General features: G+C 40.4%; 1 protein-coding gene across 3 annotated transcripts in view; it reads left to right on the top strand.

Moving 5' to 3' along the window:
- The window catches only part of ZRANB3 (zinc finger RANBP2-type containing 3), a 334,250-nt gene that overhangs the window by 124,941 nt on the left and 184,835 nt on the right, over positions 1 to 24,474 (top strand). For all 3 annotated transcript variants that reach the window (NM_032143.4, NM_001286569.1, NM_001286568.2), the window contains exon 3: positions 15,458 to 15,476. In NM_032143.4, coding sequence (NP_115519.2) covers positions 15,458 to 15,476 — 19 coding nt within the window. The remainder of the gene's footprint in view (positions 1 to 15,457; positions 15,477 to 24,474) is intronic.

Raw genomic sequence — 24,474 nt, 5'->3', positions numbered from 1 at the left:
TTCTTCCTGGTTTAGTCTTGGGAGGGCGTATGTGTCAAGGAATTTATCCATTTCTTCTAGATTTTCTAGTTTATTTGTGTAGAGGTGTTTGTAGTATTCTCCTATGGTAGTTTGTGTTTCTGTGGGATCGGTGGTGATATCCCCTTCGTCATTTTTTATTGCGTCTATTTGATTCTTCTCTCTTTTCTTCTTTATTAGTCTTGCTAGCGGTCTATCAATTTTGTTGTTCTTCTCAAAAAACCAGCTCCTGTATTCACTGATTTTTTTGAAGGGTTTTTTGTGTGTCTATGTCCTTCAGTTCTACTCTGATCTTAGTTATTTCTTGCCTTCTGCTAGATTTGGAATGTGTTTGCTCTTGCTTCTCTACTTCTTTTAATTGTGATGTTAGGGTGTCAATTTTAGATCTTTCCTGCTTTCTCTTGTGGGCATTTAGTACTATAAATTTCCCTCTACACACTGCTTTGAATGTGTCCCAGAGATTCTGGTGTGTTGTGTCTTTGTTGTCGTTGGTTTCAAAGAACATCTTGATCTCTGCCTTCATTTTGTTATGTACCCAGTAGTCATTCAGGAGCAGGTTGTTCAGTTTCCATGTAGTTGAGCGGATTTGAGTGAATTTCTTAATCCTGAGTTCTAGTTTGATTGCAGTGTGGTCTGAGAGAGAGTTTGTTATAATTTCTGTTCTTTTACATTTGTTGAGGAGTGCTTTACTTCCAACTATGTGGTCAATTTTGGAATACGTGTGCTGTGGTGCTGAGAAGAATGTATATTTTGTTCATTTGGGATGGAGAGTTCTGTAGATGTCTATTAGGTCCGCTTGGTGCAGAGCTGTATTTAATTCCTGGATATGCTTGTTAACTTTCTGTCTTGTTGATCTGTCTAATGTTGACAGTGGCATGTTAAAGTCTCCCATTTTTATTGTGTGTGAGTCTAAGTCTCTTTGTATGTCACTCATGACTTGCTTTATGAATCTGGGTGCTCCTGTATTGGGTGCATGTATATTTAGGATAGTTAGCTCTTCTTGTTGAACTTATCCCTTTACCATTATGTAACGGCCTTCTTTGTCTCTTTTGATCTTTGTTGGTTTAAAGTCTGCTTTATCAGAGACTAGGATTGCAACCCCTGCCTTTTTTTGTTTTCCATTTGCTTGGTAGATCTTCCTCCATCCCTTTATTTTGAGCCTATGTGTGTCTCTGCACGTAAGATGGGTTTCCTGAATACAGCACACTGATGGGTCTTGACTCTTTATCCAATTTGCCAGTCTGTGTCTTTTAATTGGAGCATTTAGTCCATTTACATGTAAGGTTAATATTGTTATGTGTGAATTTGATCCTGTCATTATAATGTTAGCTGGTTATTTTGCTCATTAGTTGATGCAGTTTCTTCCTAGCCTCGATGGTCTTTACATTTTGGCATGATTTTGCAGCGTAGTTTGGCTGGATATGAAATTCTGGGTTGAAAATTCTTTTCTTTAAGAATGTTGAATATTGGCCCCCACTCTCTTCTGGCTTGTAGAGTTTCTGCCGAGAGATCCGCCGTTAGTCTAATGGGCTTCCCTTTGTGGGTAACCCCCACCTTTGTCTCTGGCTGCTCTTAACATTTTTTCCTTCATTTCAACTTTGGTGAATCTGAGAATTGTGTGTCTTGGAGTTGCTCTTCTCGAGGAGTATCTTTGTAGCATTCTCTGTATTTCCTGAATTTGAATGTTGGCCTGACTTGCTAGTTTGGGGAAGTTCTCCTGGATAATATCCTGCAGAGTGTTTTCCAACTTGGTTCCATTCTCCCTGTCACTTTGAGGTACACCAATCAGATGTAGATTTGGTCTTTTCACATAGTCCCATATTTCTTGGAGGCTTTGTTCGTTTCTTTTTATTCTTTTTTCTCTAAACTTCTCTTCTCGCTTCATTTCATTCATTTGATCTTCCATCACTGATACCCTTTCTTCCAGTTGATAGAATTGGCTACTGAGACTTGTACATTTGTCACATAGTTCTCGTGCCTTGGTTTTCAGCACCATCAGGTCCTTTAAGGACTTCTCTGCATTGGTTATTCTAGTTAGCCATGCGTCTAATTTTTTTCAAGGTTTTTGACTTATTTGCCATGGGTTTGAACTTCCTCCTTTACCTCAGAGTAGTTTGATCATCTGAAGCCTTCTTCTCTCACCTCGTCAAAGTCGTTCTGCATCCAGCTTTGTTCCGTTGCTGGTGAGGAGCTGTGTTCCTTTGGAGGAGGAGAGGCGCTCTGATTGTTAGAGTTTCCAGTTTTTCTGCTCTGTTTTTTCCCCATCTTTGTGGTTTTATCTACCTTTGGTCTTTGATGATGGTGACGTACCGATGGGATTTTGCTGTGGATGTCCTTTCTGTTTGTTAGTTTTCCTTCTAACAGTCAGGACCCTCAGCTGCAGGTCTGTTGGAGTTTGCTGGAGGTCCACTCCAGGCCCTGTTTGCCTGGGCATCAGCAGCGGAGGCTGCAGAACAGCGGATATTGGTGAACAGCAAATGTTGCTGCCAGATCCTTCCTCTGGAAGTTTTGTCTCAGAGGAGTACCCGGCCGTGTGAGGTGTCAGTCTGCCCCTACTCGGGGGTGCCTCCCAGTTAGGCTACTCGGTGGTCAGGGACCCACTTGAGGAGGCAGTCTATCTGTTCTCAGATCTCCAGCTGCGTGCTGGGATAACCACTGCTCTCTTCAAAGCTGTCAGACAAGAACATTTAAGTCTGCAGAGGATTCTGCTGCCTTTTGTTTGGCAATGCCCTGCCCCGGAGGTGGAGTCTACAAAGGCAGGCAGGCCTCCTTGAGCTGCAGTGGGCTCCACACAGTTGGAGCTTCCAGGCTGGTTTGTTTACCTACTCAAGCCTCCGCAATGGCGGGCGCCTCTCCCCCAGCCTTGCTGCCGCCTTCCAGTTGGATCTCAGACTGCTGTGCTAGCAATGAGCGAGGCTCTGTGGGCGGAGGACCCTCCGAGCCAGGTGCGGGATATAATCTCCTGGTGTGCCATTTGCTAAGACCGTTAGAAAAGCACAGTATTAGGGTGGGAGGGACCTGATGTTCCAGGTGCCATCTGTCACCCCTTTGTTTGACTAGAAAAGGGAATTCCCTGACTCCTTGCGGTTCCCGTGTGAGGCAATGCCTCACCCAGCTTCGGCTCCTGCTGGGTGCACTGCACCTACTGTCCTGCACCCACTTTCCGACACTCCCCAGTGAGATGAGCCTTGTACCTCAGTTGGAAATGCAGAAATCACCCGTCTTCTGCGTCGCCCACACTGGGAGCTGTAGATTGGAGCGGTTCCTATTTGGCCATCTTGGCTGCACCCCCTCAGGCATTTGTTTATAGCAGTGGAAGAATGGCCTAATACATGTGTATTATGCAATAAGGTTACATTGAAAAAGAATGGACTGGCCAGGTGCGGTGGTTCATGCCTGTAATCCTCGCACTTTGGTAGGCTGAGGTGGGTAGATCACCTGAGGTCAGGAGTTCCAGACCAGTCTGGCCAACATGGTGCAACCTCGTCTCTACAAAAAATACAAAAATTAGCTGGACGTGGTGGCCCGCACCTGTAATTCCAGCTACTCAGGAGGCTGAGCAGGAGAATCGCTTGAACCCAGGAGGTGGAGGTTGCAGTGAGCTAAGATCGCACCATTGCACTCCAGCCTGGGTGACAAGAGCGAAACTGTCTTAAAAAAAAAAAAGTCTGGGTGCAGTGGCTAAGCCCTGTAATCCCAGCACATTGGGAGGCCGAGTTGGGTGGATCATGAGGTCAGGAGATCAAGACCATTCTGGCTAACACGGTGAATCCCCATCTCTACTAAAAATACAAAAAATTAGCCGGACGTGGTGGTGGGCTCCTGTAGTCCCAGCTACTCGGGAGACTGAGGCAGGAGAATCACTTGAACCTGGGAGCCGGAGGTTGCAGTGAGCCAAGATCGTGCCACTGCACTGCAGCCCGGGCAACAGAGCGAGACTCCGTCTCAAAAAAAAAAAAAAAAAGAGAGAAAGAATGAACTAACACGTGTATATGCAATAAAGTTTACATTGAAATATTAAATTATTGCCTCAAATCAAGATGAATGAATAACTCTAGAGCAGTCCTCGTATGTGATTAATCACTGAAGTCATTTCAAAGGAAAAATATTTTCCAAAAGCCTCATTGTTTACTTAAAATTTTTGTATTATGTTAAATATGTACACACCAAAACTAGGTTAAAAAATTTCATATACTTATAGCTTTTAGGAAATATTTTCAAAATATGAAAAATTTTCAAAATTAAATACAAATAAGGCAAAATAAAAATAGTTCAGTTAACAGTATTAATTTAATATGATAGTATTATTTGGCAGATGCTAAATTGATGCTATTGAGGTTTTATGGCCAAAACTAATAGCCTCATGTCTCTTAAATATTGAAAGTTTATTCATATCCTATACTTCCTTTTTTAATGATGAGGAATTGAGTTCAGCTGCACATAATAATAGCTAAAATATATTGGACTATTTTCTCCTGCAGTTAACAGGAGTTTAGAGCCACACCTTTCCAATCTTCTTGTCCTTTTCTGCCTAGTAGATCACAAAGCAGCTATTACGGTTCCAGATTTGGCATCATTGCGTGATGCAGGAAGAAAGGAAGAAGACAAAACGACATGTGCTAACTGAGTCAACCCTATTTTAACAAGCTTTCTCAGAATCACCACCTAGTTATGTTGACTAAGGCCTCATTGGCCACATTTTGTCATATAACCACAGCTAGTTGAAAAAGAGATTGGAAAAGGAGAGGTTTAGTTCACCACAGGCCCCCCACCGACAGGGTGTGTTTGTGAGGGGGAAGGGGAGAAGGGATTTTGGAAAAGCAACAGCAAGCTCTACCACAACTTCTAAGGCCGTTTTTATCGAGGGATGATTTGGAAGCACTATAGCCATCTTCATCACATAAAGATCACATCAACTTTGGGGTGTTATTGAAATCTCTCTCAAGTAGGTATCTAACTATGTCTGCAATCCGGGAAAGAAAAATCCTTCATATTTGCTCTCATAATTACTGATAATTAAAGTTTAAATTTTAAAAGCTAAAAGAAATCAGTTCCCTCGTGAGTATGATGTTCTCCGTGCATGCACCCCTATGTGTCTGGTGATGTCTCAATTCCACACTACCCTAAGTCCGACTATTGTAAAAACGTATTTACTCATCATTCTGCAATAAGAAGTGTTTAATATAGGTAAATGGGAAGGGATTTCTCATATAATCCTAAATGCAAAAGGGACCACTAAATATACATAGGCCTGATTTTAAAGTAGTTGTTCAGATGACCCAGAATATACTTATGGTAATATTTTTTGGAATTTAATCTAAATGACTTAACAGTTAACAAAGAGAATTCTGAGTTCCTTACAAGTTTGTAAATTACTGTCCGTAGGCCAAACCAGGCCCACCAATTATGTTGATAAATAAAGTTTTTTTGGAACACAACCCTGCTCATTCATTTATTTGTTGTCATTGGCTGCTTTTCCGGTGTTAGAACAGAGTTGAGTAGTTGTGACAGACAATTGGCATGCATGACCTGTAAAGCCTAAAATATTTACCATTAGAAAAAAATGTGCCAACCCCTGCCTTAGAATATATTGGTGAACAACCTTTTAAGAATTAGTGACCTAAAGAAAGTTTCTGGTACAGTGCCAAAAGTTATGACTTTAGTTTGATACATAAGACCTTTCTATTAAGACTAGATGAAGCCAAGGTGGACAGATCATGAGGTCAGGAGTTCGAGACCAGCCTGGCCAACATGGTGAAACCCCATCTTGCCTGTATTTCCAGCTACTTGGGAGGCTGAGGCAGGAGAACCACTTGAACCCAGGAGGCGGAGGTTGCAGTGAACCGAGATCATGCCATTGTACTCCAGCCTGGGCAACAGAGCACGTCTCCATTTAGAGAAAAAAAAAGACTAGACAAAGAAACAAAATATGGATTTATCAGAAGAGTGAACACACAGAGTCCATGCCAATAGGGTGTTATTTATTTATTTATTTATTTATTTTTATTATTACTATTTTTGAGATGAAGTCTTGCTCTGTTGCCCAGGCTGGAGTGCAGTGGTGCAATCTTGGCTCACGGCAACTTCTTCCTCCCAGATTCAAGCAATTCTTCTGCCTCAGCCTCCCGAGTAGCTGGGATTATAGGAGCCCGCTTCCACGCTCGGCTAATTTTTGTACTCTCAGTAGAGATGGGTTTTCACCATGTTGGCCAGGCTGGTCTCAAACTCTTGACCTCTTAATCCGCCTGCCTTGGCCTTCCAAATTGCTGGGATTACAGGTGTGAGCCACCATACCCAGCCAGGATGTAATTTAATAGGAATAAATTCAAAGTCCTAAGTTCAGAATTGAGAAAAATACGAAAACCTTTTCGAAAAACAAATTAGGCCTTATACACTGAAAGAGCTACAATGACACAGAGATCACCAGTTACAGAAATGGTAGTCTCGAATTGATAGAATCTTGTGTTTTGCCCCTTCCCCGTGACCATGTACCAAGATCTTTCTCATTCAAAAGCATGTTATTGGCATTCCTTACAAACAGCACTCAAACAACAACTCAGTTATAAGTGAAAAACATAGAATACTAAGCAATACTAAATATTTTTAGTAACAATACTAAACATTTTTCATTTTTGTCATCATGTTGTGAGTTAAAGTGTCTAAAGAAAATCTTCTGTCTAACCTTGTATGCCCTTCTCTTAAGAATATAAGTGGCATGCCTATGAAAAGACAATGTAAAAAAAACCCTCCAGTTTATATGTGTTCACCCTCATTCCTTCCAGGGTGCAGCTTAGTCAGTCTTACTCTAAAACTTTAGCCTGTGATCTTATTTCCTATAACATTGTTCATATTTTAAAAACCTGTGAATTTTTGTCGATGGCATACTTAATATGTTGCCACCCATTGAATGTACACTTTAATACTATCTGAGGTTGTAGTTTTAAAACACTGTATTTCTGATCTATAATTCACATATGCTTATAAATTCATAGACTTCTAGAAGGATACATAAGAAAGCAGGTCCAGAGGTTGCTTCTCGGAAGGGGCCTGGGGAGCTGGGAGACCAGGTGACAGGGGGAAGAGAAACATTTCACTGTATATTCTATTGTGCCTTTTTACTGTTGGTCCATGTACATGTATGGCCGTTCAAGTAAATCAATGAAATATCTTTTAAAACCCATATCTTCTCCAGAATCATCATCTAACCTAGGCGTAGTTCATTTGCAAATCACACTATCATCACAGTCACACTATGGATGTGAAACAGCCAACCAAAGCAACTATGACAAGCCAAAGATTCAACAAGTGTACTGAACACAGTGTGATTAGGTGGTTGTCATCACTTAGGGAAAATACTTTAATTGGTTGGATAGGTATATGAAAACCCAGTTTACACAGAAATCCAAGGAGAACTGATCAATAAAAAAAGTGACAAAATGCTGGGTGCAGTGGCTCACGCCTGTAATCCCAGCACTTTGGGAGGCCGGGGCTGGCGGATCACGAGGTCAGGAGATCGAGACCATCCTGGCTAACACAGTGAAACCCCGTCTCTACTAAAAATACAAAAAAAAAAATTAGCTGGGCATGGTGGCGGGCGCCTATAGTGCCAGCTACTCCGGAGGCTGAGGCAGGAGAATGGCGTAAACCCAGGAGGCGGAGCTTGCAGTGAGCCGAGATAGCGCCACTGCACTCCAGCCTGGGCGACAGAGCAAGACTCCATCTCAAAAAAAAAAAAAAAGTGACAAAAGAAATGGTTTTTGTTTGTTCAAAGGAGGTAGAAAAAAAGAGTAAGGGCAAAAAGATACAATGAAATGTGCAGCTCAAGACTTGATACCTTTAACAGTGGAAGTCAGGAGTCAGAAGCTAGTAGATGAAATTAAGAACAGGCATGTAGGGCCAGGTGCAGTGACTCACACCTGTAATCCCAGCACTTTGGGAGGCCGAGGCAGGCAGATCACGAGGTCAGGAGATCAAGACCATCCTGGCTAACACGGTGAAACCCCGTCTCTACTAAAAAAACAAAACAATTAGCCGGGTGTGGTGGCGGGCACCTATAGTCCCAGCTACTTGGGAGGCTGAGGCAGGAGAATGGCGTGAACCCGGGAGGCAGAGCTTGCAGTGAGCGGAGATGGCGCCACTGCACTCCAGCCTGGGTGACAGAGCGAGACTCCATCTCAAAAAATAAATAAATAAATAATAAGAAAAACAAAAAGAAAAAGAACAGGTATGTAAAACGTGGAGAGCAAATGGACATGATCCTTATTGCTGCAATTCTCCAAAGATATGTAGTTCATAAATGTGCAAGATATGGAGAAACAGCCACTTCTGCTACATATGCAGACAATGACCCTAAGTATGTGTCTCCTCCTTGTATATGTTTTGGGGGAGGAGAGGTAAGGGAAAGGGTTACATGGTAACTTTCAGCTTTCCTCTTGATCTAGGGCTGTAAAAGCAGCAGAATACTGTAGCTTATTGAAAGCACAGCAAGCAGGACATTTCCAGAGTGTAGCAGAAAGCAGGCATGGAAGCCCACTGTATCCCTAGCATGTATTCACAGTTACCAATGGAAACAATGGTTACTTTTAGTAGCCCTCCTGCTAAAATAACTTAAATTAGAAATGGGTTCTTGGCTGAAGAAATTAAGCAATATTTCTGGTTAAAAAGTTTTAAGAAGAAGAGGAGCTACATGAGCATGTTCAAATGCCATCTTTAACTATAATAGAAATCTTCCTTATTTCTTCAACAGGATATACCCATCCTAAAGTGAAAATAAAAGGTTTTTCTTTTCTTTTCTTTTCTTTTTTTTTTTTTTGAGTCAGGGTCTGGCTTTCTTGCCCAGGCTGAAGTGCAGTGGTACGATCATGCCTCACTGCAGATTAAACTTCCTGGGCTCAAGTAGTTCTCCTACCTCAGTCTCCCAAGTAGCTGGGGCTAGAGGCACACACCACCACACCTGCCTAGTTTTTTATTTTTAGTTTTAGTGGAGAGGAGGTCTCGCTATGTTGCCCACGTTGGTCTCAGATTGGTACGCTAAAGTGATCCTCCCACCTCAGCTTACCAAAGTGCTGGGGTTATAATCATGAGCCACCTTGTCCGGTCTCTTGGTTTTGTTTGTTTTTGTTTGTTTGTTTAGATGCAGTCTCACTCTGTTGCCCAGGCTGGAGCACAGTAGCATGATAATAATAGCTCACTACAGACTCAATCTCCTGGGCTCAAGGGATCCTCCTGCCTCAGCATCCCTAGTAGCTGAGACTACAGGCGTGGATAACACACCTGGCTAATATTTTTAAATTTTATTTTAAATTTTTTCTTTTTTGTTTTTGTGGGTACAGAGTAAGTGTATATATTTATGGGGTACATGAGCTATTTTGATACAGGCATACAATGCATAATAAGCAGATGTATCACCTCAAGCATTTATTCATTATGTTACAAACAATCCAATTATATTGTTTTAATTATTTTTAAATGTACAATTTAATTATTATTGACTATAGTCACCCCGTTGTGCTATTGAATACTAGATATTATTCATTCTATTTTTATTTACCCATTAACCATCCCGACTTTCCCCCTACCCCACCACTACCCTTCCCAGTCTCTAATAACCATCATTCTATTCTCTATCTCCATGAGTTCAGTTGTCTTAATTTTGGATTCCCACACATAAGTGAGAACGTGCAAAGTTTGTCTTTCTGTGCCTGGCTTATTTCACTTAACATAATGACCTCTAGTTCCACCCATGTTGTTGCAAATGACAGGATCTCATTCTTTTTTATGGCTGAATAGTACTCCATTGTGTATATGTACCACATTTTCTTTATCTCTTCATCTGTTGATGGACATGTAGGTTGTTTCCAAATCTTGGCTATTGTGAATAGTGCTGCAATAAACATGGGAGTGTAGATATCTCTTTGATATACTAATTTCCTTTCCTTTGGGTATATACCTAGCAGTAGGATTGCTGGATCAGATGGAAGCTCTATTTTTAGTTTTTGTGAGGAACCTCCAAATTGTTCCCCATAGTGGCTATACTAATTTACATTCCCACCAGCAGTGTACAAGTGTTCCCTTTTCTCCATATCCTTGTCAGCATTTGTTGTTGCCTGTCTTTCATTTTAACTGGGGTGAGATGATATCTCATTATAGTTTTGATTTGCATTTCTCTGATGATCAATGCTGTCGAGCACATTTTCATATAACTGTTTGCCCTTTGTATGTCTTCCTTTGAAAAATATCTATTCAGATCTTTTGTCCATTTAAAAAATTGGATTATTAGATTTTTTTCCTGAAGAGTTGTTTGAGCTTCTTCTTTATTCTGGTTATTAATCCCTTGTCAGATGGATAGTTTGCAAATATTTTCTCCCATTCTGTGGGTTGTCTCTTTACTTTGTGGATTGTTTCCTTTTCTGTGCAGAAGCTTTTTAACTTGATGTGATCCCATTTGTCCATTTTATTTGGTTGCCTGTGTTTGTGGGTTATTACTCAAGAAATCTTTGCCCAGCCAGGCACCGTGGTTCACCCCTGTAATCCCAGCACTTTGGGAGGCCGAGGCAGGTGGATCATTTGAGGTCAGGTGTTTGAGACCAGCCTGGCCAAAATGGTGAAACCCCGTCTCAACTAGAAATACAAAAATTAGCCGGGCGTCGTGGTGTGCGCCTGTTGTCCTAGCTACTCAGGAGGCTGAGGCATGAGAATCGCTTGAACGTGGGAGGCAGAGGTTGTAGTGAGCCAAGATTGCACCACTGCACTCCAGCCTGGGTGACAGAATGAAACTGTGTCTCAAAACTAAAAAAAATTAAAAAAAAAAAAAAAAAGAAATCTTTGCCCATTCTTGTGTCCTGGAGTATCGCCTCAGTGTTTCCTTGTAGTAGTTTCATGATTTGAGGTCTTAGATTTAAGTCTTTAATCCATTTTGATTTGATTTTTGTTTACGGTGAGAGATGGTTTAATTCTTCTGAATGCAGATATCCAGTTTTCCCAGCACCATTTATTGAAGAGACTGCCCTTTCTCCCAGTGTATGTTTCTGACAGCTTTGTCCAAAATGAGTTCACTGTAGATGTATGGATTTGTTTCTCGGTTCTCTATTCTGTTCCTTTGGTCTGTGTGTCTGTATTTATGCTAGTACCTTGCTGGTAACAATAGCTCTGTAGTATAACTTGAAGTCAGATAATGTGATTCCTCCGGTTTTGTTTTTGCTCAGGATGGCTTTGACTATTCTGGGTCTTTTGTGGTCCCATATAAGTTTTAGAATTGTTTTTTCTGTTTCTGTGAAGAGTGTACTTTTTTTTTTTTTTTTTTTTTTGTAGAGACAAGGTCTTGCTATGTTGTCCAGGCTGATCTCAAAGTCCTGCGTTCAAGCAATCCTGCCTCAGCCTCCCAAAGCACTTCGGGATTATGGACATAAGCCACTACACCCAGCTTAGTATCTTTTACATAACTAGACATTCCTTCTCATTCTCTTTTGCTGGATTCTTCCCCTCTCTTGACTTCTCATTGTTGTAGTGCTCCAAGGCTTTTTTTCCCTTGTGGTAAAAAAACACAATGTAAAATTTACTACCTTAACCATTTTAATTTTACAGTGTAGTAGTGTTAACTATATCTTATTATGTAAGGTATAGGTAACAACTTTTTCATCTAGTAAATCTGAAACTCTATACCCAGTTAACATCTCCTCTTTTCCTCCTCCCTTGTCTCTATACTCTTCCTTCCTAGGTGATCACATCTAGTCTCTTGACTAAAATATCATCTGTTTTGCTTTAGTTTAATTTCAGCTTCCCATCTCCTTACCTCCCTTCAGTTTTGCATATTCAGATTTTTGGATTATGTCCCTTCTGTTTCTAGTCTTTATTTAGAGTGTATATGGTCCATTAAATTATCACATATCAAGCTTCATTGCTTACCAGATTCCCTTTTCCTTTTTTCCTATCTTGAATCTATGTTAAGGTGTTTTTATTGTTTGGTTATTTTCTCAGGTATTTTTACTGAAATGGTTTGCTTTAGTGGTGTAATTTTGGTAATCTTGAATAGCCTTAAATATCTTTTTGCCATCCCGTAACAAATCGGGGGTATCTCGGCTGAGTATAAGATTCATAACTTCTAAGCTGGGCATGGTGGCTCATGCCTGTAATCCCAGCACTGTGGGAGGCCAAGGCAGGCAGATCATGAGATCAGGAGTTTGAGACCAGCCTGGCCACCATAGTGAAACCCTGTCTCTACTTAAAAAAAAAAAAATTAGCTGGGCATGGTGGCGGGCGCCTGTTTACCCAGCTACTCGAGAGGCTGAGGCAGGAGAATCGCTTGAGCCTGGAAAGCAGAGGTTGCAGTGAGCCGAGATCGTGCCGTTGCACTCCAGCCAGGAAAACAGAGTGAGACTCCATCTAAAAAAAAAAGGTTAATAACTTCTGCTGCTTTTCGTTTCAGTTAGTTTAGATCCTGTTGCATTTTATTCTAGCTTCTAGAGTTGATGATTAGACCAGTACCAGTCCTAGTTTTCTCTTTATGGATAATTGTTCTTTCTTTCTGGACACTTAGAAGATTTTTTCTTTATTTGTAAAATTAATGAATTTTACAAGGGTATAATAGATATTTGTCTTTTGTCTTTAATCCATCCTGAAACTTGGTTTCCCTTTTCACTTATCCACCAAAAGCCAGCCCAGAGAAATTTCCCTTTATTATTTACTTAATTGTTGCCTCTCCTCCATCTGGTGCTTTTTCTCTTTTTGAACACCTATTTTTTGTAAAATAGGTCTTCTGGGACTATTTTCAAGTCTTTCTATTCCTTCAGTATTTCCATTTATTTTGCTTTCTGTTCTGTGCTTTAAGATAATCCACGTACTGCATCTTCCAGTCTATTTATTTAGCTGTCAATAATGATCATCTTAAAAAAAAAAAGTTCATGTTCTCGTTTTGCTTTGAAATCTATACATGAATCTTCCTGGAAAAAAAATCATGTTTTTCCAAGTATTGCTTTTTAGTTTTCTAATCTGTTGGCTTGTTTACAAAGAATGTAATAAATTTTTTACTCTTATATATGTTTTAATTTTCAATTAAAGTATTTGAATTTTATTTTTTGTAAAGATATTTATTGGGGCCAGGTGCAGTGGCTCACGCTTATAATCCCACCAGTTTGGGAGGCCTAGGTGGGTGGATCACATGAGTCCAGGAGTTCTAGACCAACCTGAACAACATAGTGAAACCCTGTCTCTACAAATAAAAAAAATAGCTGGGTGTGGTGGCATACACCTGTAGTCCCAGCTACTTTGGAGGCTGAGGTGGTAGGATCATTAGAGGTCAAGGCTGCAGTGAGCCGTGATTGTGCCACTGCCCTCTAGCCTGAGTGACAAAGGGAGACTGTCTCAGAAAAAAAAAAACCAAAAAACATATTTATTGGGTAAGCTGACATCTTTTTGAACAATGAAATTTCATTTTCATTTAACTGTAATGCATTCATTGGTAATTTATTTACTCCAAATGCTTAATTTGTTGTTGTTGTTGTTGTTGTGGTTTTTGAGACGGAGTCTCACTCTGTTGCCCAAGCTGGAGTGCAGTGGCATGATCTTGGCTCACTGCAACCTCTGCCTCCCGGGTTCAAGTGTTTCTCCTGCTCAGCCTCCCAAGTACCTGGGACTACAGGGGTGCGTCATCACACCTGGCTAATTTTTTACTTTTAGTACAGACAGGGTTTCACCATGTTGGCCAGGCTGGTCTCGTACTCCTGACCTCAGGTGATCCAGTCACCTCGGCTTCCCAAAGTGCTGGGATTACAGGCGTTAGCCACCGTGCCCGGCCATGATTTGTATTTTATATATAGAAATAAATCTTATAAGATTATATGATATCAAGACAACTGGGAATAAAGGAACAATAAAATAGAAAAAGTTTTTTTCCTGCCCCCCCCCCCTTTTTTTTTTTTTGTATTTTCATTTTGTTTTGTTTTGTTTTAGAGATAGGGTCTCCCTTTGTTGTCCAGGCTGGAGTACAGTGGGACAATCATAGCTCAGTGTGGCTTCCAATTCCTGGCCTCAATCTATCCTCCTACCTCACCCTCCTGAGCCACTGGGATAACAGGCATGAGCCACTGTACCTGGCCTCTTGCCAATTTTTATAATATTCCAGCTATTTTTTTAGGTTGTCTGGAAATATCCTCACTTAAGGGATTAGTTTTACCCCTTATCATATGTTTGCTGTCTCAAAGGAACACCCGATGATCCTGACCATGCCTGCTATTCTTTCCCTTTGCCCCTTGTTTTTCTGCTACTTAATACTTGAGTTTATGCCCCCATCCTCAATTATCATTGCATAGAATTTATTTATACAGGTTAATAAGAAAGAACTGAGAAAAGAAAGTTTAGCAAAGTAATAGAAATAAAAACTCAGCGGCCAGGCGCGGTGGCTCACACCTGTAATCCCAGCACTTTGGGAGGCCGAGGTGGGTGGATCACGAGGTCAGGAGATCGAGACCATCCTAGCTAACACGGTGAAACCCCGTCTCTACTAAAAATACAAAAAATTAGCCTGGCGTGGTGACAGGTGCTTGTAGTCCCAGCTACTCGGGAGGCTGAGGCAGGAGAATAGCATGAACCTGGGAGGCAGAGCTTGCAGTGAGCGGAGATCGCACCACTGCACTCCAGCCTGGGCAACAGAGCGAGACTCCGTCTCAAAAAAAAAAAAAAAGAAAGAAATAAAAACTCATCTTAAAGGTAGGCTTAGCATATATAGTTATGTATTTAACTTATGCTAATATGTAATTCACACTTATTTTCTTATATTTTAATGCAGCATTCTTCTCTTTATAGGGAAGACCAATCTTAAGGTTTAAGGATGAGGAGGGTGGTCATTGGTACAATCACTTACCACTTTGCTCACGTTTTTGAAGGGTCATTGTAACTATCTTCATGGGTGGGCTGTGGGAACAGCACATCTGAAGCTCTAACACTCCCACGTAGCCATATGCCTTTGGCAGCTGGAGAGTCATATAAAATCAGCACTGGCCCATGTTCTCATACTTATAAACACCTCTCTCTGGCTTACTACTTTAGTATTTATGAACTATTTTCTGGCAAGCTACTTAATCAGAACTTTAAAAATGGTTCACTTTGGCCGGGCACAGTTGCTCACGCCTGTAATCTCAGCACTTTGGGAGGCTGAGGCGAGCAGATCACGAGGTCAAGAGATCGATACCATCCTAAGCAACATAGTGAAACCCCTTCTCTACTAAAAATACAAAAATTAGATGGGCGTGGTGACACGCATCTGTAGTTCCAGCTACTCAGGAGGCTGAGGCAGGAGAATCACTTGGACCTGGGAGACAGAGGTTGCAGTGAGCTGAGATCGCACCACTGCACTCCAGCCTGGTGACAGAGCGAGACTCCATCTCAAAAAAAAAAGGAAAAAGGTTCACTCTGATAATTAATTTTTTTTTTTTTTTTTTTCCAGGTGTATGGTGGCTGATGAAGTAAGTGTTTCAATGGTTTTTATGTCTTTTATAAGATTACACAGCTTGTTTTTAGTGTCTGCTATTTTCCATGTACTCTTTCTCCATATGACTATATGTCTGTATATGGGGATGGGGAGAGAGAGAAAGATGGGAGGGTGAGGAGGGAGGGGGAGAGAGAATGAGAATGAATGAATGTGTGTGTGTGTGTGTTTTCTAGACATGCATCTGATACATATGTTAATATTAACATTAGTGACCCCAAATTGTTACCTAGGATGCATGAATGAGTTTTGAAATGCAGCCCCCCAAAAAGCTTTTCTGTTATAATAGTACTTGCTTAAAAGCTAAACTTTAAAGATTCTGTTCTAAAGGTTATTGTTTATTGTTTCCTATGAGTTTGAAACATAGTTCTGAAATGGTATTTTATTATCACTCAACAATCTGATAGATTTAAATGGCATGTGCTTATATGTATCCCTATTCGTGTTTTCTCTCTGAAATGGAGGCTCTTGTTACATGAACTATGATATTCTTTGTGTACATTCTCAGACTAATGTAAGTCAATAAAGTTCTAATTTTTAACAACCGTTTGAGAAATGTGTTGCTGTTTTTCATTATGTCTTTAAGAATAACAGCAAAACGGCCAGGCGCAGTGGCTCACGCCTGTAATCCCAACACTTTGGGAGGCCGAGGCAGGTGGATCATGAGGCCAGGAGTTTGAGACCATCCTGGCTAACACGGTGAAACCCCATCTCTATTAAAATATAAAAATTTAGCCGGGCGTGGTGGCAGGCATCTGTAGTCCCAGCTACTCAGGAGGCTGAGGCAGGAGAATGGCATGAACCCAGGAGGCAGAGCTTGCAGTGAGCCGAAAGCATGCCACTGCACTCCAGCTTGGGCGACAGAGTGAGACTCCGTCTCAAAAAAAAAAAAAAAAAAAAAAGAATAACAGCAAAACATACACTTTTCAAAATATATTAGAAATGAAGGAAATGGAAACTGAATTGTTAAAAAATAAAAGTGGAATCATCAAAAACTTCTCCCAATTAATTATGATTTAGTTTTGCTTGCATATAGACTCCCACCAATGGCTTATCTCTGTAGTCTCTTCTTTTGAGACGGAATCTGGCTCTGTCGCCCAGGCTGCAGTGCAATGGCACGATCTCGGCTCACTGCAACCTCTGCCTCCCGGATTCAAGCAATTCTCTTGCCTCAGCCTCCCCAGTAGGTGGGACTACAGGCGCGCACCACCACGCCCAGCTAATTTTTGTATTTTTAGTAGAGAAGGGGTTTCACCATTTTGGCCAAGGTGTTTTCCGTCTCTTGACCTCGTGATCCACCCGCCTCAGCCTCCCAAAGTCCTGGGATTACAGGCGTGAGCCACAGTGCCTGGCCTGTAGTCTGTTTTTAAGGAAAACATGAATAGAGAATTTAAGGATTTATTTAAGGAATAACATGAGTCCTATACAGAAATGTTGATATAGGGGTTCATAGTTCATGCTAATTTATAATGACCTAATTTTTTAGTTTGAACTCTTCTTTCATTCAATAGGTGTTTATTTAGACTAGATGTTATAATTAGAAAAAGAGTCATTGCCAGTGAAGAACTTTAGCGATATAATTGGAGAAACAAGACATAGACATTTGGGAAACAATAAACAGAAATTTTTCTTTTGAAACAAGATGAGTTCTTTTGTTGTTTTTTGTTTGCTTGTTTTGGTTTGTTTTTGTGTTCTTGTTTTGAGAAGGAGTCTCGCTCTGTCGCCCAGACTGGAGTGCAGTGGCACGATCTCGACTCACTGCAAGGTTCGCCTCCCAGGTTCACGCCATTCTCCTGCCTCAGCCTCCCGAGTAGCTGGGACTACAGGCACCTGCCACCACACCCGGCTAATTTTTTGTATTTTTAGTAAAGACAGGGTTTCACTGTGTTAGCCAGAATGGTCTCAATCTCCTGACCTCAGGTGATCCGTCCGCCTCTGCCTCCCAAAGTGCTGGGATTACAGGTGTGAACCATCGTGCCCGGCCTAAAACAGGATGAGCTCTAAATGGCTCTTCATAAATTAATTAATTTGAGAGTCCAAATGACTGAAAGAGGCTTACGTTTTTAGTCCTTGAATATGTTTTCAACAAATAGAAATATGAACTCATTCTCCAAAACCTCAAGACTAGCCATAACTATTTCCTCTTATATATATACATGTATAGAACATATATGTCATATATGTATATGCATGTGTATAAATTCTTTTCCAAACAGACCAGCTGAGGTCCACAGAAAATATATTATAAAAGGTAACAAACAGCATCCTTTATGATTTCCACAAGTAAGTCATGGTGAAAAATCTTAGCAGTTATGGTACACCATTGGTACTTTGGTCCTCATTTTGATGTTGTAGAAATCTAGATGCACCTTAAATCTATGGAATTCACCATGGATTCAGATAAACACTTGATCTGCACCATAACCCTTCTGATATGGTTTGGCTATGTCCCCACCCAAATCTCATCTTGAATCGTAGCTACCATAATTCCCACATGTGATGGGAGGGGTGACCCAGTGGGGGATAGTTGAATCATGGGGGTGGGTCTCTCCCATGCTGTTCTCATGATAGCCAGTAAGTCTCACGAGATCTGATGGTTTTATAAATGGGAGTTCCCCTGCACACGCTCTCTTGCATGCTGCAGTGTAAAAGATGTGACCTTACTCCTCTTTCGCCTTCCACCATGATTGTGGAGCCTCCCTAGCCATGTGGAACTGTGAATTAAACCCCTTTCCTTTATAAATTACCCAGACTCGGGTATGTCTTTATTGGCAGTGTGAGAACAGACTAAGACACCTTCTTAACTCTTATATTCTCTAACACACCCTTATCCTCAGTTAACGAGTATGCAGAGGTCATGAACCCTTAGCCAGCAAGAGTGTTCCCGTTATACAAATCACTTTTCCATTTCTTGTGATTTACAATTACATAGCACTTTTCACATTTGGCTGATTCACATGTTGTCATCTTTCAAAACCATTCTTACTTTTTAATTAAATACATTGCAAAATCCGTTTAATATTTCCTCAATACTTAAAAAAAACTTCCACCTTCCTGTCCATCATAATTACTTAATTACTTCTCTCTTTTCACCAGCATTTTTGAAGACCCATTATTTTACACCTATTTGACTTGACAGGGTTTATGATGTTATATCCTATTTATAATGTTGATTAAGAAAAAATCTTCAACTTTATACATGAATACAAGAATCAGGCCATAGAAATAAACAGAATGACATACAAGACGTAAGATCACAGCTCATAACCACTAATAATCTATTTAGTGGTAGAGTTGGACTGCTATTTTTATGGAATCTTACCATGCCAGTGTGGATGAAAGTTAATAAATTAAATGTGCTGAAGTAAAAAGAACTTCTATATATGTAAATTATATGAACTCTACCTTCATTCTGTTTTCTAATATGGTTTTCCTTCTCTTGCTTTTATTATAAAACAGTGGTGAAGCCAGAGAAGGAAGTACAATTTATAATTTAAAGGTCAACCACTTTTTGATTTGTAAATTAAAAATAGATTTTCATGTGATGACTGTTGACTCATCAAATAGTGAAAAGCCTTGGGAGAGCAATTTTACATCTGTGTTATTGAACCTACTTTTTTTTTTATAAACTCTTGAATACTCACTTGGAGTATTGTGTACTTTAGCTGTCTGCTGTGATCTTTTCTCCCTAGCTTTAGAAACAAATGACGTCCTTCACTAGTATTATTCCCCCTTCTTTCGGTATCTTTTCACTGTTATCTTTTTCTTTTTCTTTTCCTTTTTTTTTTTTAATTCTTTAAGATCTAGGGTACCTGCGCAAAACGTGCAGGTTTGTTACATAGGTATACATGTGCCATGTTGGTTTGCTGCACCCATCAACTCATCATTTACATTAGGTATTTCTCCTAATGCTATCCCTCCCCCAGGGCCCCACCCCCGAAAGGCCCCCGTGTGTGATGTTCCCTGCCCTGTGGCCAATTGTTGTCATTGTTCAGTTCCCACCTAAGAGTGAGAACATGCGGTGTTTAGTTTTCTGTCTTTGTGATAGTTTGCTGAGAATTATGGTTTCCAGCTTCATCCATGTCTCTGCAAAGGACACGAACTTATCCTTTTTTATGGCTGCATAGCATTCCATGGTGTATATGTGCCACATTTGCTTAATCCAGTCTGTCATTGATGGACATTTGGGTTGGTTCCAAGTCTTTGCTATTGTGAATAGTGCCCCAGTAAACATATGTGTGCATGTGTCTTTATAGTAGCATGATTTATAATCCTTTGGGTATATACCCAGTAATGGGATCACTGGGTCAAATGGTATTTCTGGTTCTGGATCCCTGAGGAATCACCACACTGTCTTCCACAATGGTTGAACTAGTTTACACTCCCACCAACAGTGTTAAAGCATTCCTATTTCTCCACATTTTCTCCAGCATGTGTTGTTTCCTGACTTTTTAATGATCTCCATTCTAACTGGCGTGAGATGGTATCTCATTATGGTTTTGATTTGCATATCTCTGATGAGCAGTGATGATGAGCATTTTTTCATGTGTCTTTTGGCTGCATAAATGTCTTCTTTTGAGAAGTGTCTGTTCATATCCTTTGCCCACTTTTTGATGGAGTTGTTTGTTTTTTTCTTGTAATTTGTTTGAGTTCTCTGTAGATTCTGGATATTAGCCCTTTCTCAGATGGGTAGATTGCAAGAATTTTCTCCCATTCTGTATGTTGCCTGTTCACTCTGATGGTAGTTTCTTTTGCCTTGCAGAGGATCTTTACTTTAATTAGACCCCATTTGTCTCTTTTGGCTTTTGTTGCCATTGCTTTTGGTGTTTTAGTCATGAAGTCCTTGCCCATGCCTCTGTCCTGAATGGTATTGCCTAGGTTTTCTTCTAGGGTTTTTATGGTTTTAGGTCTAAAACCATTCAAGTCTTTAATCCATCTTGAGTTAATTTTTGTATAAGGTGTAAAGCAGGGATCCAGTTTCGGCTTTCTACACATGGCTAGCCAGTTTTCTGATCACCATTTATTAAACAGGTAATCCTTTCCCCATTTTTTGTTTTTGTCAGGTTTGTCAAAGACCAGATGGTTGCAGATGTGTGGTGTTATTTCTGAGACCTCTGTTCCCGATCTATTGCTCAATATATCTGTTTTGGTACCACTACCATGCTGTTTTGGTTACTGTAGCCTTATAGTATAGTTTGAAGCCAGGTAGCATGATGCTTCCAACTTTGTTTTTCTTTGTGTAGGATTGTCTTGGCAATACAGGCTCTTTTTTGGTTCCATATGAACTTTAGTTTTTTCCAATTCTGTGAAGAAAGTCATTGGTAGCTTGATGGGGGTGGCATTGAATCTATAAATTACCTTGGGCAGTATGGGCATTTTCACAATATTGATTCTTCCTACCCATGAGCATGGAATGTTCTTCGATTTGTTTGTATCCTCTTTTATTTCATTGAGCAGTGGTTTGTAGTTCTCCTTGAAGAGGTCCTTCACATCCCTTGTAAGTTGGATTCCTAGGTATTTTATTCTCATTGAAGCAATTGTGAGTGGGAGTTCACTCACCATTTGGCTCTCTGTTTGTCTGTTATTGGTGTATAAGAATGCTTGTGATTTTTGCACATTGATTTTGTATTCTGAGACTTTGCTGAAGTTGCTTATCAGCTTGAGATTTTGGGCTGAGACGATGGGGTTTTCTAGATATACAATCATGTCATCTGCAAACAGGGACAATTTGACTTCCTCTTTTCCTATTTCAATACCCTTTATTTCTTTCTCCTGCCTTATTGCCCTGGCCAGAACTTCCAACACTATGTTGAATAGGAGTGGTGAGAAAGTGCATCCGTGTCTTGTGCCAGCTTTCAAAGGGAATGCTTCCAGTTTTTGCCCATTCAGTATGATATTGGCTGTGAGTTTGTCATAAATAGCTCTTATTATTTTGAGATACATCCCATCAATACCCAATTTATTGAGAGTTTTTAGCATGAAGGGCTGTTGAATTTTGTCAAAGGCCTTTTCTGCATCTATTGAGATAATCATGTGGTTTTTGTCATTGGTTCTGTTTATATGCTGGATTACATTTATTGATTTGCATATGTTGAACCAGCCTTGCATCCCAGGGATGAAGCCGACTTGATCATGGTGGATAAGCTTTTTGATGTGCTGCTGGATTCGGTTTGCCAGTATTTTATTGAGGATTTTTGCATCAATGTTCATCAGGGATATTGGTCTAGAATTCTCTTTTCTTGTTGTGTCTCTGCCACGCTTTGGTATCAGGATGATGCTGCCTCATAAAATGAGTTAGGGAGGATTCTCTCTTTTTCTATTGATTGGAATAGTTTCAGAAGGAATGGTACCAGCTCCTCATTGTACCTCTGGTAGAATTCGGCTGTGAATCCATGTGGTCCTGGGCTTTTTTTGGTTGTTAATCTATTAATTATTGCCTCAATTTCAGAGCCTGTTATTGGTCTATTCAGAGATTCAACTTCTTCCTGGTTTAGTCTTGGGAGAGTGTATGTGTCAAGGAATTTATCCATTTCTTCTAGATTTCCTAGTTTATTTGCGTAGAGGTGTTTATAGTATTCTCTGTTGGTAATTTGCATTTCTGTGGAATTGGTGGTGATATCCCCTTTATCATTTTTTATTGCATCTATTTGATTCTTCTCTCTTTTCTTCTTTATTAGTCTTGCCAGTGGTCTATCAATTTTGTTGATCTTTTCAAAAAACCAGCTCCTGGATTCGTTGATTTTTTGAAGGGTTTTTTGTGTCTCTACCTCCTTCAGTTCTGCTCTGATCTTAGTTATTTCTTGCCTTCTGCTAGCTTTTGAATGTGTTCGCTTTTGCTTCTCTAGTTCTTTTAATTGTGTTGTCAGGGTGTCAATTTTAGATCTTTCCTGCTGTCCCTTGTGGGCATTTAGTGGTATAAATTTCCCTCTACACACTGCTTTAAATGTGTCCCAAAGATTCTGGTATGTTGTGTCTTTGTTCTCGTTGGTTTCAAAGAACATCTTTATTTCTGCCTTCATTTCATTATGTACCCAGTAATTCAGGAGCAGGTTGTTCAGTTTCCACGTAGTCGTGTGGTTTTGAGTGAGTTTCTTAATCCTGAGTTCTAGTTTGATTGCACTGTGGTCTGAGAGAGAGTTTGTTATAATTTCTGTTCCTTTACATTTGCTGAGGAGTACTTTACTTCCAACTATGTGGTCAATTTTGGAGTAAGTGAGGTGTGGTGCTGAGAAGAATGTATATTCTGTTGATTTGGGGTGGAGAGTTCTGTAGATGTCTATTAGGTCCGCTTGGTGCAGAGCTGAGTTCAATTCCTGGATATCCTTGTTAACTTTCTGTCTCGTTGATCTGTCTAATGTTGACAGTGGGGTGTTAAAGTCTCTCATTATTATTGTATAGGAGTCTAAGTCTCATTTTACATCTCTAAGGTCTTGTTTTATGAATCTGTGTGCTCCTGTATTTGGTGCATGTATATTTGGGATAGTTAGCTCTTCTTGTTGAATTTGTCCCTTTACCATTATGTAATGACCTTCTTTGTCTCTTTTGATCTTTGTTGGTTTAAAGTCTGTTTTATCAGAGACTAGGATTGCAACTGCTGCCTTTTTTTTTGTTTTCCATTTGCTTGGTAGATCTTCCTCCATCCCTTTATTTTGAGCCTATGTGAGTCTCTGCACTGAGATGGGCTTCCTGAATACAGCACACTGATGGGTCTTGTCTCTTTATCCAATTTGCCAGTTTGTCTGTGTCTTTTAATTGGAGCATTTAGCCCATTTACATTTAAAGTTAATATTGTTATGTGTGAATTTGATCCTGTAATTATGATGTTAGCTGATTATTTTGCTCGTTAGTTGATGCACTTTCTTCCTAGCCTCGATGGTCTTTAGAATTTGGCATGTTTTTGCAGTGGCTTGTAGTGGTTTTTCCTTTCCATGTTTAGTGCTTCCTTCAGGAGCTCTTTTAGGGCAGACCTGGTGGTGACAAAATCTCTCAGCATTTGCTTGTCTGTAAAGGATTTTATTTCTCCTTCACTTATGAAGCTTAGTTTCGCTGCATATGAAATTCTGGGTTGAAAATTCTTTTCTTTAGGAATGTTGAATATTGGCCCCCAGTCTCTTCTGGCTTGTAGAGTTTCTGCCGAGAGATCCGCCGTTAGTCTGATGGGCTTCCCTTTGTGGGTAACCCCACCTTTCTCTCTGGCTGCCCTTAACATTTCCTTCATTTCAACTTTGGTGAATCTGACAATTATGTGTCTTGGAGTTGCTCTTCTCGAGGAGTATCTTTGTGGCATTCTCTGTATTTCCTGAATTTGAATGTTGGCCTGCCTTGCTAGATGGGGGAAGTTCTCCTGGATAATATCCTGCAGAGTGTTTTCCAACTTGGTTCCATTCGCCCCGTCACTTTCAGGTACACCAATCAGACATAGATTTGGTCTTTTCACATAGTCCCATATTTCTTGGAGGCGTTGTTCGTTTCTTTTTATTCTTTTTTCTCTAAACTTCTCTTCTCGCTTCATTTCATTCATTTGATCTTCCATCACTGATACCCTTTCTTCCAGTTGATCGAATCGGCTAATGAAGCTTGTGCATTCGTCACGTAGTTCTCGTGCCATGGTTTTCAGCTCCATCAGGTCCTTTAAGGACTTCTCTGCATTGGTTATTCTAGTTAGCCCTTCGTCTAATCTTTTTTCAAGGTTTTTAAGTTCTTTGCATTGGGTTCGTACTTCCTCCTTTAGCTCGAAGAAGTTTGATCGTCTGAAGCCTTCTTCTCTCAACTCGTCAAAGTCATTCTCCGTCCAGCTTTGTTCTGTTGCTGGTGAGGGGCTGCGTTCCTCTGGAGGAGGAGAGGCGCTCTGATTTTTAGAATTTTCAGTTTTTCTGCTCTGTTTTTTCCCCATCTTTGTGGTTTTATCTACCTTTGGTATTTGATGATGGTGCCATGTAGATGGGGTTTTGGTGTGGATGTCCTTTCTGTTTGTT

This window comes from Homo sapiens, chromosome 2 (genome assembly GCF_000001405.40).
Source record: "Homo sapiens chromosome 2, GRCh38.p14 Primary Assembly".
Lineage (NCBI taxonomy): Eukaryota > Metazoa > Chordata > Mammalia > Primates > Hominidae > Homo > Homo sapiens.
This window is presented reverse-complemented; position numbering and strand designations above follow the sequence as displayed.